This window comes from Homo sapiens, chromosome 17, assembly GCF_000001405.40.
Source record: "Homo sapiens chromosome 17, GRCh38.p14 Primary Assembly".
Taxonomy (NCBI): Eukaryota; Metazoa; Chordata; class Mammalia; order Primates; family Hominidae; genus Homo; species Homo sapiens.
In genome coordinates, this window is record NC_000017.11 from 6,622,168 (window position 1) to 6,636,599 (window position 14,432).

Sequence of the window (14,432 nt, forward strand, 5' to 3'; positions counted from 1 at the left end):
GGGAGTCAGAAAATAGAATTTGATGCCTAGCTCTCAAGAAAAATAACTGTCATCTCTCCGATGTTTGCTTTTCTAAAAAAATTTAACCTGTACAACAGCAGTAAAACCCATTGCAAAGCATACTGCCATAGAAAGGGTCAAATGGCATAATTACATGGAAACACCATGCAAACTTCAGAGAGCTATAAAATTAATGTGTCTTTGTCACCAATGAAAACTAAGAACACTATCAATTCCTGTCTAATACATGCCAGCTGTGATTTCTAGACGTCTCTAGCTATATCACAAGATTTGAGGCTCTGATTCCATATACTGTACCTTTAAGTGTTTCTTCTTTTCCAAAATCCATCTAAATTAAACACTGATATTCTAATCTAAGAATGCTTTACTGGTTTCCTTTTCTATGCTAATAAATTTTTTTCTCAAATGGCATGGGCCAGGGAATGGGACATTCTGTTTAGTTAATGAACCTGGTTTAAAGTTGTTACATGTTTTATATTCAAGTTACCAATTTTCGAAGCAGTGAAATACGATAATACAGACTACACTGTAAAAATAGCAAAACAAAAAGAAGTGTTTCTTCTGCCCTCTGCAAAGCTTTAATTCACTAGGTAATGGCTTTGTCTTGTATTCTCCATAAATCCTAACGAAACTAGGTAATAGTAAGCATTACTTCCAATGCACCTCTAACAAAAATTGGAATTAATTCCATACCTCAATTTGTTGCAGAATATCTATAACCACATCAGGAACAGAAGGGTCTGCATCCAGCTTGACAGAACAAAGTGAAAGCTGGCGAATAAGGCTGCCCAGTTCCTTACACCGAGCAGGAAGTGGATGCTCCCCTCGGTCAGTAAACTGAGTGACAAACATCTGTAAGGCCCGAATGGCTCCTCGATGGGCAGCCGCCAGCTTAGACATTGCCCATGACTGGTAATAAACAAGATGAGAGAAGTTATTTCCATACTCAGAACTTGCTAACATTCACCCAACTTCTAAGAATATTTATAGCCTGTCTTCTTTCTGTATAAAGTGCTTTCTATTGTGAAAACTTTTTCATAGTAAAGGGAGTTGTAAAGTTTAAAGTTTTCTAGTGGCAGTCTTTTCCTTACTACTTCCAATTTTTTATACCAGCAGCAACAACAACAAAAATCTATTTTTTAGAACCTGTTCCTTAGAAGGCAACCATATTCAGAATATGTAAGGTGCTCACTCCCTCACTAACAGGTTTCTGCAAGTACTGAAAATAACATTAGTGCAGAGGGCCCTACACAATACTAACAAAACACTGGGAAATGTCATTTATAAGCAAGTATTGATCATAATTTAATTGCAGCATACCTTCTTAGTGTGTTTAATTTTATGTGGACTCAATTTATCCAATTCTTCCTGGATTTCTTTTACCTGTTTTGTAAAGGGGAAAAAAGAAAACTTCATACCTTTCCATTGATCTTTTTTGTAGAAAAGGATGCATCGATATATCTCCTCTTGTCCAAATATAACCATTATTAATTCAAGTCACTTGAAAATGAAAAAAAGGCTCTTCATTCATGCACCCAAAAAACAGTTACTGGTTTCCAGTTCAAGATAGTGAATAGGCAGTGTTCACCTTCCATCCCTTCGTCCCCAGTGTAATAGGAATTTAGCATGAAGGAGTGAAGGTGGAGGTGACTCTGGAAATGTAGGCGGGCCGGATCGTGAAGTCTTACATGCCACGCTGAAGAGTTTAGCTTTCATCCTCTAAGTTACAGAGAGCCACTAAAGTCTTTTAAGCAGAGGTCTGACATGGTAAGATTCATGTTTTAGAGCAATCTCTACGGCAGCAGTGTAGAATAAGAACTGAAATAGAACCCAAAAGAATACACTGCAAAACCTAACTCAGGCATTTTCTTTTAAATGAAAAAGTACAGCTTTTGGTTCAAGCAATAAAGGCTAACATGTGACTTCAGTGACCAGAAATGAGTAAAAGGCTTACTAATGTATAAGGCATGAAAGTCACAACAAACACTTTTTAAAAATCCATCACAATGTAAAGAACGTAAATGCCTGTGTATCCGCTACTAAAGATGTCCTCAAAGACACTTAACATGGTCTTTACTCTTTGCTGTTTACCAAATTATTTACTATTACAAGCTTCTATACATTATAAACATGAAATAGATGGGAAACTAACAAGGTCCCTTTCCTCTAAGACTGGGGTCCATAGCTAGGACCAAGGGTTCAGGGTAACTGATCCACCTGACTTCCCATGCAAAAATATGTGCTATATAATGTATAAGCATCTTGGGGGTGGGGAGGAGTGGCTTTTAATAGATTCTCAAAGGTCTATGACCTCATAAAGTCAAGAACCAGTTTAAGGAGTTTGGCGCCACACACACACACACACACACACACACACACACACGCAGATTACAAAAAGAAAGAGAATTATTTGCCCATGTGTTCAGGTAATTGAGCCTCACAAATCTGTCAGAACTCATATGGGATACTCTAGTGCTAATCTTTCTGAGACAAAAGGAAAACAGAAACTCTCTAAGGAAGCAGTACACAAGGCTGACTGCCCTACTTCTCCCTGAACTTTTCACACCTGCTGCTGGAGGACGTAGAGCATTCGGGCAGAGCGAGCAGCTTGCTCCTGTCTCCTGATACGGATTCGACGTTCTTCATCTGGATCCAAAGCTTCTTCTAGTCTATCTGAAAATATTAATAGTTTTCCCCAAAAGTGGATTATAAACCATATATTAAAACTTACAAAGACTTCAATTACTTACAGAAATAATAAAGTTGAAGATCTCTGGTTTTATTAAGAAAAAAATGAGGCTATCATAACAGAAAATTTCATTTTTCATCAGCCAAGAAACCAGCAGTAAGTGGAGCTGTGTACTGACTGAGAGATGGAAGGGACATAAAGACATTTACTCCATCAAGCTCCCCTCCAGCCAGAATTCCCACTGGACAGCGATTTCACTATGAGGCACCTCTTACTATTTTAGAATTCCTTATATTGAGCCAAAATCTGTTATTCTTGCTATTTTTTCAAAAACTTTTTATTGGCCTGTTTTTATGTTTAGCAAGATTAGTTTTACAATGTAAAGAAGGTATTAATAAATGCCTATTGATCAGCCACTAAATATGTCCTGAAAGACACTTAACATGGTCTTTAGTCTTTGCTGTTTAATAGAGAATAATCAAATGTTGAATTCAAAAGAGAAATCCTGGCCAGGAGTGGTGGCTCACCCCTATAATCCCAGCACTTTGGGAGGCTGAGATGGGCGGATCACCTGAGGTCAGAATTTCAAGGCCAGCCCGGCCAACATGGCAAAACCCTGTCTCTACTAAAAATACAAAAATTAGCCAGGCGTGGTGGTGTGCACCTGTAATCCCAGCTACTCGGGAGGCTGAGGCAGGAGAACTGCTTGAACCCAGGAGGCGGAGGTTGCAGTGAGCTGAGATCGCACCACTACACTCCAGCCTGGGTGACAAAATGAGACTGTCTTAAAAAAGAGAAGAATTAAAAAAAAGAGAGAGAGACATTAAGATAGCATCTTATTGTAAACATTTTTTTCTTTTTCTTTCTGAGGCAGAGTCTCACACTGTCACCAGTCTCACACAGCAACCTCCACCTCCCGGGTCAAGTGATTCTCCTGCCTCAGCCTCCTGAGTAGCTGGGATTACAGGTCCACACCACCACACTCAACTAATTTTTGTATCTTTAGTAGAGACAAGGTTTTGGCCTGTTGGCCAGGCTGGTCTCAAACTCCTGGCCTCAAGTGATGCACCTGCCTCAGCCTCCAAAAGTGCTAGGATTACAGGTGTGAGCCACCATGCCCAGCCTTAATCTTGATTTCAAAAGACAAGTCTTTTCTCTAACATATTAAGATAGCAAGTCTCAAAATTATTTGAGTGTCTAGAGTCTTCATGTATTTCTCAGGAAGCATACCCTTGTACACACTGGTACTCTATATCTTGAAAAGATTGGTTCAAAGAAATTGTTTCTGGAAAACTGTTTGAAGAAGATGCAATCTATCTATTCCTTCCAGGCTGTGGTTTTCAAATACACTTATACAAACAAATTCTTATACGAAACTCCAATATACTCCAATTATCAAAGAAAAGGGAGTCTTCAATTAGTAAAAGTGTATTTTATAAGTTCAAATTTTTAATATTTACTCTTTAAAACATCAAACAATGCAAAGAGTATAAGGCTGTTTTGAAGAAAGCAAAAATCTGAAGTCAGGAGTTGTAGATACAGATGCAGTCTCAAGAGACCCTATATGTCTAATTACTTTCATCTCGTTTGGGCTGCATGGTAGGGGAAAATCCGGATTCACATACTTCTATGAACATAAATGGAACGGGCTTAGGTGGGGGGTTTGAAGGCTCACTGCAGATGATTCCCATGCAGCGCCTGCAGCTGTCTACAGAGCAGCACTGGGAAGCACAAATGGGCCTTCGGGGCTACTTCAAAGGGGGTCTGCAGCCAGGGGCCATCGCAAAATATTATTAATCCATGAAAGGTAAGTACAGAAATTTAAAGTATATGTTTACGTGTTTCCATAGCAGTTTGCCGCTACTGTGACATTTTTATTATAGTTCACAAAGTATTGACTTATGACACATTGAAAATTCATGTAAATAAAATAAACCAACCCAGTCCTTCCCCACAGAGACTTTGAAAGCTCTGTTCTAACAGTTCCCCGGTATTAGGCCAGATCACCAGAGCAGTGGGCCTTGTGGCTTTGTTCCCCTGGTCGCAGGGCTTCCAATCAAAGTAGGTAGGGGTCCATGCCACAGGCTGACACTAAGGAATATCAAGAGAAACAAGCCACAACATTTCTGTTATTTTTATGCTGGAATGGTTTTGAATTGTTCATGATATTATACAACACACTCTTTAAGAAGACCTACAGGAGAAATTTCTTTCTGGCCTTAATATGTGGAATAATTGTTTTCCTTACACAATTGTTTTTTTCTGTCTTAGACTTTGTAAATTCTCCAAGTGATTTGACGTTCCCTCTTTAGCTGGCTCCTAGGAAGCTCAGAAGCAAATCTGTGACTCATCCCTAGTAAATGTTTTTCCTTTCCTTATTGTTTCCTTTGCCACAATATCCTCATGTGCATTTTTGTTTTATCTTATTCAATCACAGGTATTTCTTAAGGTACCTTAAATTCTTTCATAAGATGCATATAGGTACATATGCATATATTAATTAAATTGAAAATGCAAAAAATAATTCTAGACTATGTACTACCCTAGTGCAACGGTTTCTTTTGATGCTCAACTCCATACCCCTTGCAATCTGAAAGCTGGGCTTGGTTCCCTACTTGTTAGTTACGGTAACCCCAAATTCTCCACGTGGAACCAGTCTTCTACTCAGCAGGGAAATACAAGGGCCCTGAGAACACTGCAGAACTGTAGAAAACCATATATGATGATTAAATTCCTTCCTTCCTACCCTGTGCTCACTTTACACATATACCCACAACTTCCCTTGTCACTGGTGTGTACTCACCTAAATACTGCCCAAGTGAGAACTGGTTTTACCTATAATATAAATACATTATGCTCTCTTTTCAAGCAAATTGAAAAATAATTTTCCCAGAAGAGGGAAAACATTATAGGATAATTTGCACTCAGGTCCCAGAAGACCTAAGGTTCAGCCAACATTAATGCCACCTCGTAGGCTGGGCCCTCAGTCAGTGGACATTTGAAGGGCAGCCACAGTGAAGAAGTTCTTTCATGTCCCTCCGCTGGAAAGAGGAGCTGGGGCAAGACACTGTTCAAACTCCAAGCCTAACTGTCTTGTCCTGAGTACTCACACTCCAGTGAACCAACTCACAGAAGGAAAGAATGAAATTGCTATAGGGGTTGAGGGTCCTCAAGGAATGCATTTAAACTACCCCATAATCACAGCCTTAGGTCGAAGTAAAGAATCTAATTTTTCTCACCTTTTTTAGTTACCTCTTCAATTTTGTGGATACAACTGCTCAGTTCTTTCTGGAGTCGCTGGACTTCTAGCAGGCTTTTCTGTTCACTTATGTTTTTGTGGTCACCTATCCTGGGATGAGGCTGAAGTCCCGGATCATGGGTGGGTGGCGAATTTGGCACAGTAAGATCTGACTGGCCTGGATGAGATGAGTAAAGGTATACTTTGGCACCAGAGCTGGAGATTTCTACTTTGGATGGCTGGTGGCTACACTGACAGGCTGCTTGACTCTTTGATTCCTTCCTTTCCACCCTGTGGTCGGGTATTTTATACTTAGTATGTCCACACTTCTGAGAGCTTTGAGGCTGACTTCTGAGATGATGTTCTTTTATATGTTTTTCAAATTGTCTTCGTTTCACATCTCTTCTGGCTAGGTGGACAGCATAGCTAAGTCTCTCTTGGGATATGACGGAAAATGAAACAGAACTGCCCAGGTCAGGACCAACTCTACAATCTGCATCTTTACAATGGTATGATTCATTGTATGAGTGCTTCAGTTTTTCAATTCTAATGGCATGTGGGCAAGAATATCGGATCGCCAAGTTGCTTGAATGTGTAGGAACATTCCTATTAAACTGCAGCTGGTTCTTTAAAAAGCAAATAAAAGTAAGCAGACATCAGAAAAATTTCATATTGCACAGTTGGTATATGTCTATAATCAAATTTCTAAAATTTTGCCACCAGATCATTAGTGCTAAGAGGCATTTTTCTGTTTTACTGATAGACACAGCCACGCTCCTACACCCTTGGGTTCATCACATACCCCTGGTTCTATCCTATAATCATCCAGTCCCATACTATTATCCTTCTGTTTACTAATGTCATACTGGGAACCATCTCTAAAAGTAAACCCAGAAAGCTTCAAGCAGCAACCACTAAGTCCTTCAATTTCCCAGTTATGGACTTCTGTCCTATTTCAAAATGTCAGGCCCCAGCAAGTGACCAATATAACCCATTGAAGCTTTCTTAAAATTTGCTCCACGGATAGATCCAAGCCATCTGATAGTACTTCTTCAGGTCTTCCTGAGACTTCATTTGGTGGCTGGATCCATCTTTTACCCTGCCCCTAAGTGTATCTCACTTGAAACAGTCCGCTTATGCTTTCTTACACAGGCTCAAGTTTTTGTCAGTTTTCCTCATAATAAATACAAGTTTTGTTTCGTTTTGCACTTAAACATAAACATGTTTCTATATCCCTACAGCTTTTATTTATCATTGTTGCATTTTCCAAAATCCAATGAATGGTCTTTTCATGCCTAACTATAATGTTAATATTAAACATTTAGATTGTTCCAGTTTTTCCACTAATAGAAATATTACCTCAATTAATGTCTCCATGCATTTAGTTTTTTAACCTTTTAAAATTATTTCCTTAGGATAAATGATCTGTTCTGGGATTATCAGGTTAAAGGAAAGAAACGATTTTATGGCTTTAAATATGTACCCTCCTTAGGCCTACCAGAATGAACCTGTCAAAGACCGGTCAATAGCCTGAGGAGAATCCATGCCTACAAATTCAATGAACCCAGTCCTGTGATGCCGTGACCTTGGAGATGGCCTCCCCTGCTCTCACAATCAATGTGTTTATATAATTACAGGCATCAAGAGTCACTTAAAAATAATCAATTGTGACAAAACTTCAGGGAAGTATTTCGGATTTTTAAAAAGTAGTTAGAAAGCTCACTAAAGAAAAAACAAATAGGTACCATCTGAAAGATACACAGACTGATGAACGGTGTTTGTCATTTGAGGTCAGGAGTTTGAGACCAGCTTGGCCAACATGGCAAAACCCCATCTCTACTAAAAAACATATAAAAATTAGGTAGGCGTGATGGCACATGCCTGTAATCCCAGCTACTCAGGAGGCTGAGACACAAGAATCGCTTGAGCCTGGGAGGTGGAGGTTGCAGCGAGCTGAGACTAAGCCACTGCACTCAAGCTTGGGTGACAGAGGAAGACACTGTCTAAATAATAATAATAATTATAATAATAATTATTGAAGTATAAAAAGATCAAAACTGAATAAAAACAGGGAAAAACATATGACCAATTTACCAAAAAAGAGGTCCTTAAGTACATAAAAAGATGTTCAATCTCATAACACAAATTAAAAATACATGGAAATACCATCTCTTACCCAACCGATTAGCAAAAATTTAAAAGTATAGCAATATATGCTGTTGGTGAGGCTGTGGGAAGCAGGCGCCCTCATAGAAGAGGTGCTGGTGGTCATGCAAATTGGCATAATTCTTATGGAGGGGAATTTGGCAATCGCTAACAAAAACACCATGCATTCATCACTTTTTTTTTTAATTAAAAAGATTTAGCACAGGAAAGAAAGAAAAGACACTTGAAAGAGACCCAAGCAGGCAACTTGAAGGACAAGTATCACATTTAACTTTTGACCCAGGAGTCTCACTTCTAGGAATTTACCCTGTAGACACACCTCCAACAATAAACATGTACAGGGTTACTCACTGCTATATTGTTTGTAACTGTAAATTATTAGAATCAATCTGAGTCCCCATGAAGGAGAGTAGCTGAGTAAACAATGGTCTATCCACAAACTGGAGTAAAATGAAGATATAAAACAAAAATGAGGAAGATCTCTGTGACACTTCTATGAATTAATGTGGAGAGATTGGAATATATTGTTCAGCAGAAAGCACTATGCGCAAAAAGTATATTTATAATACACTACCCTTCATATAAGAAAAGAAGACATGAGAAAATATATATACATCTGAATCACTTGTGCAAAAAGAAACAGAAAACAAAAATCAGAGACTAATGAGATTAGTTATCTACAGGGAACTGGTAGGAATAGGAAGGAAAGGACAGAGGGAATGGGGTAGCAGATAACTTTTCTGAATATACCTTTTTGTATATTTGGAACCATGTTAATGTTTCACATATACACGAGAGACAGGAAGAAAGAAATGAATGAATGAAGGGAGGAAGAGGGAAAGGAAGGAAAAAAAAATCCATAAGGATAGTGGAAAACCCCCAAATAAATACCAACAGAAACCAATGAACCAAACTGAATCTCAGATAAGTAACATAACCACGCTAAAAAGTGAAGATGAAAAAAATTAACCCCAGTAACTTTTGAATATAGCATTTGGACTATATGCCGTCAGGCTAAAGACAGATGTACTCTAAACAAATACTGAACTCTAATTTTGCAGGCTTCTTCTTGAGCAGAGACACGGATTACAATTCAGAAACTACCTTTTGTACATTCCAGAACTGAGCAAAAAAGTAAATATATTGTGGATAATGATAGCCAGCTTTCATGCTCTGGGACAAGGGAGTTGGAAATATGTAGTGTTGGATTTGAATTGGAGATACCTGTGTGAACTTGTGAGTTTTAATACAGACATATAGGCAGACAGACACAGAAAGATACATAGACAGCAAGAGAAGGAGGAAGGGAAGAGAAAGAAAGAAACAGGAAGGAGATGAGAAAGTGTAGCTACAGACATGTGAGTACGGGTGTGCATTTATGAATGTGTGTACATGTATGTATATGCACACAAGTATACATCTATTTCCTAGTTCTGTCCTCTGAGAGGGCCTAAAACAATGACATGATAGTATCAAGGAGCACATCCAGCCCCAGATAGTGATTTTTTAAATTTCATTCTCCACTGAAGAATCAAAGTCTCCTTGGATAAATGGTTAATTCCAGGGCCAGGACAAAGAAAAGACAAGTTGAGCCTGGAGTATCTTTTATTTATTTATTTATTTATTTATGAGACGGAGTCACCCAGGCTGGAGTGCAGTGGCACAATCTTGGCTCACTGCAACCTCCGCCTCCTGGGTTCAAGTGATTCTACTGCCTCGGCCTCCCAAGTAGCTGAGATTATAGGTGTGCACCATCATGCTCAGCTAATTTTTTTGTATTTTTTAGCAGAGATGGGGTTTTAGCAACATGGGGTTTCACCATGTTGGCCAGGCTGGTCTTGAACTCCTGACCTCAAGTGATCCTCCTGCCTTGGCCTCCCAAAGTGCTGGGATTACAGGCATGAGCCACAACGCCCAGCCTTGGAGTGTCTTTTTACACCATAAAGTGGTCAAAGACTGATGAGATCATGTCAAAGAGACACTGGGGCCAACTAGAAGTGGCTCTCACTGGCTAAATCAAAGACCATTTGAACATCAAAATAAATATCTGCACATCAAAATAAATAATGAGAATAAAAATAATAATGAGTCTGTGCTGAAATAAATAAGTAAGTACTAGGAAAAGAAGGGGTTTCCTGGAGCAGTGGGAAAGAGCCAGATTGCAAGGAGTAAGGCAACAAGTAAATGTAGAAGGAAGGGTAAAATTAGAAATCCCCATTTGCCAACCACCATAATAAAAAACTGATTCAGGCAAAAATGCTAAAAGTAGTTGGTGAAAGTTTGAGGTGTTAAAAAGACATTAACATAGTCTCCAAGACAAATAATTACAAAAAGCAAAGGAGTAACTTTACAATGAAAAAACCAGGCAGATACCACCTTAATCAAATGGTGAAAGTCAACACTGCTAGTGCTGGGACTAAATTGGCAGCATGTACTTGCTGATAGGGTGTCCTGAGAAGCACTCAGTATCATTCAGTGGTTCTCCTGCCAAAAGTGCATTACCTGAATGTAACTGTGAGAAGACATCAGGCAAATCTAAATTGAGAGAAAATCCACAAATAACTGGCCTATATTCTTAAAAAAAATCAATGTCACAAAACCTAAAAACAGACTCAGAAATCAGATTAAAGGAGACTACAGAGGCATGACAATGTAATGCACCTTATGATCTTGGATTTTCTTTTGCTATAAAGGACACTATTGGGACAACTAACAAAATCTCAGTAAGGTCTGCAGATTACATGATGGTATCGATTTAATGTTAATTTCTGATTCTGATCATTGTACTATGGTTATATAATAGAATTCTTTATTTTCAGGAAAAAAATACTTAGAGGTAAAAGGGCACTGTGTCTGCAATTTACTCTTAAATGGTTTAGAAAATAATTTGTGTGTGTATAGAGATAGTGAGAGAGAGAAGGAGGGAATACGTAGCAAAATGTTAGCATTTGAGGAATCTGGGAGAAGAGTATCCAGGAATTCTGTGGACTATTCTTGCAACTTTTCTGTCAGTCTGAAATTATGTCAAAAAATTTTTTTAAATTTCTTTGTACACCACGATAAGATATTATTAAACACCCACCAGAATGGCTAAAGAGACAACAACAAGTGTTGGCAAAGATGTGGAGCAACTGGAGCTCTCATACATTGTCAGCAGGAATGTAAAACGGTACCACCACTATGTAAAAAGGTCCAATGGTTTGTTATAAAACTAAATATACACCTACCCCATGACTCAGCAATTTCACTGTTGGATATTTACCCAAAAGAAATGAAAACATGTTCATAAAAAGATCTGTATAAGAATGTTCATAGCAGCTTTATTTATAATAATCCCAAATTGGAAGCAGCCCAGGTGTCCATTAATTGGAGAACGGATAAACAAACTGTGGTATACTCATAGTATGGAATGAGAAAAAAGGATTAAAAAGGAATAAACTACTGATACATGCAATGACAAGGATGGATCTCAAAAACTTTACAGCTAGTGAAATGTCTTAACACCAAAAAAATATAAAATCCCATTTATATAAGGTTCTAGATCAGGGAAAACTAATCTGTGGTGGAAAAAATAAGAATAGTGGCTGCCTCTGGAGGGGAGGAGTGGGGGTTATCTAGCAAGGGGCATCAAGAGAACTTTCTAGGATAACAGAAATGATCTGTATCTTGATAGAGGTATGGGTTACACATATGTATGCATTTGTCAAAACTCAGCAAATGTGAAAAGATGTACACATTGCAATGTGTACATCTTTCACCATTTCTGACGTAAAATGTATATTGAAAGAAAAAAATCAGTAAACAGGGTGAATTCTTTTTTTTTTTTTTTTTTCTTTTTTGAGATGGAGTCTCGCTCTGTCACCCAGGGTGGAGTGCAGTGGCACAATCTCTGCTCACTGCAACCTCTGCCTCCCAGGTTCAAGCGATTCTCCTGCCCCAGCCTCCGAAGTAGCTGGGATTATAGGTGTGCACCACCACGCCCAGCTAATTTTTGTATTTTTAGTAGAGATGGGGGTTTCACTATGTTAGTCAGGCTGGTCTCGAACTCCTGACCTCTGGTGATCCGCCCGCCTGGACCTCCCAAAGTGCTGGGATTACAGGCGTGAGCCACCGCATCTGGCCCTAAACAGAGTGAATTCTAATGTACAACATGCATATGGAAGTAGTTTGGATACTCATGCCTGCAATTGACTTTGAAATGTGTCAAAAAATAAGATGGATTGATGGATGGATCTCTAGAGGGATGACTGAGTGACAGACATGCAACGAAACAAGTAAGTGAAATATAATGGAATCTAGGTGAGGTGTTCATTGTAAAATTCAACTTTGCTGTATTTTTAAAGATTTTCATAATATAATGCTAGGGGAAAAGACATTTTTGAGACAACTGAGTAAAGCTGAATAAAGACTGGTTATTGGATAACAGGGAATTTTTTGGGTCCATTTCTTATAAGAAATGGTATAAGAATAGTATCATGATTAAGTAGGAGAGTTCATTTTTAGGAGAAGTATTCTCAAATATTTAGAAGTATCAGGTTGACTGCAATTTGCTTTGGGGTGATTCTGCAAAAATTTTAAAGACAGATGGTTGAGTAGGTAGAAAAACAGAAAAAATTGTTAGCAATTGCTGAATCTAGGAGGTGATTTCAAAAGTGTTCACTGTCCTTTTCTTTCAAATTTTATGTTTGAAATATTTAATAATAAAAATCTCAGGCAAAAATAGAACTACCTGGGTCTGAAGTACTTTGGGGTCGCTCCTCCCATCAAGTTGGGTCCTAGGTGCTAGATGAACACAGGTTGAAGCTGGCTGGCCTGGTCCCATAATGTCAGGTAGTACAGAACAATAGTGACAGCCTTGTCATCCGGCAACAGTCTTCCCTAAAACCATTCCTAAAACGAAACAAAGCTACTTCAGACCAACAGCGTTGAACAAGGGAAAAGAACAGATAAAACACAGTGCCATGTGCATGTAGCAATATACTAGAAGTAGCCAATAGTAACCTCATACTGAGAGTGACTGCTTAATGACAGGTAAATGATAGTTTCTTCCATTTATAAAAGCAACCACACTTTGGAAGTTCCCAATTTCAAAAACAAAAAAAAATAGGGGAACACTTACTATTTTAATAATAATCTCTTGAGCCCTTTCCATTCCAAATTTCAAATCTCAAAGGTCTCCAGCAAGGCGTTATTCCCAAAACAGAGCTTTGCCATGGTAAACTAGCATGTTCCAGCAGGGTGGTTTTTGGACAAGCAGTCTACATTAACAAGTCTTAATACTAGTCAGAAAGCAGTATGCTTCACTCTGTCAGGTGGCCCGAAGGCATATAACTCTCAATGACTCTAAGTAAACCTGTAGCATCAGAATTCCTCGATTCAAGCCAGGATCTGCCATTTGGAGAGCTGAATGATTTCTCTCAATCTTCATTTCCCCCAATCTTTCCCCCACCCTATACATATGTACACAAGATAATAGATATGAAAGCACTCGGTAAGCTATCAAGGGCTACACCCTTATCATTGCCTTGCCCTATTCTGAAGGCCTCATTATAGACTTTACTATCCCTGCCACTCACGTACTGATCACGTATAGTATTGTCTCATACTGTTATTTACCTATTTCACATGTACATGTCTCATCTTCCCAGCCAGACAAGGCGACTTGAGGGGAAGGGCCTTGTCTTGCTCTTCTATTTCCCATTACAAAGTGCTCTGAGCATAGTACACAATTTAGCATTTGTTGAGTTAAGCTGATTTTCTGTGAACTGACTAGTTTTAAATCTCTGGGGAATTTGTTCTCTCAAAAAATCCTACAGTAAATCAATTGGGAAATTCAAGGTTTTTTTAAAAAAAACCCTAATTTAAGCTTTTGAATAAATCCAAAATTTGCAGACTAGATTTGCTTAAAGACAGATACTTCTTGGGAACATAAAGACAGCTGTCTAAGAGTCCTTATTTCTAAGGCTGTAGCACACATGAAAAAAGCAGATGGGAGGAGGCACATGAGCAAGGCAATCCCAACTGGCTTGACGTTGGCACAGGTGGGTGGCTGGAGTTGCAGAATGAAGGCTGCAGAAATGGGGCCCGGAGATCTGCCACTTTTAAATGGTCAGTACTTCCCTCCTGGCTGCTTCTAGGTGCCAAGGGCCAAATAGTCCATTCTCCACTAGAAAAAAACTAGGTGATCCCCACAGTTCCAGCATGCCTCAAGTGATGCTACACACACACATACACACACACGCACAAAGTCCAGGGACACCCACCCCTAAACTGTCCCCCTGTACAAAGTTCTGGGACTCTCCTTGCAATCTGGCCCTT

At 38.9% G+C, this 14,432-nt stretch overlaps 1 protein-coding gene across 14 annotated transcripts in view; it reads right to left on the bottom strand.

Annotated features, from left to right (window-relative positions):
- Positions 1-14,432, bottom strand: part of KIAA0753 — a 62,565-nt gene that overhangs the window by 44,021 nt on the left and 4,112 nt on the right. For 6 of the 14 annotated variants that reach the window (XM_047437193.1, NM_014804.3, XM_011524096.3 and 3 more), the window contains exons 2-6: positions 12,844-13,004; positions 5,950-6,574; positions 2,588-2,694; positions 1,342-1,404; positions 715-930 (exon numbers count right to left, since the gene is read on the bottom strand). In XM_047437193.1, the coding sequence (XP_047293149.1) occupies positions 715-930; positions 1,342-1,404; positions 2,588-2,694; positions 5,950-6,574; positions 12,844-12,936 (1,104 nt within the window). In that variant the 5' untranslated portion in view covers positions 12,937-13,004. Of the gene's footprint in view, positions 1-714; positions 931-1,341; positions 1,405-1,439; positions 1,840-2,587; positions 2,695-5,949; positions 6,575-12,843; positions 13,005-13,233; positions 13,705-13,730; positions 13,847-14,432 lie in introns of those variants that run through there. The other 8 variants (NR_147088.2, NM_001351225.2, XM_011524091.3 and 5 more) reach the window with 7 other exon arrangements.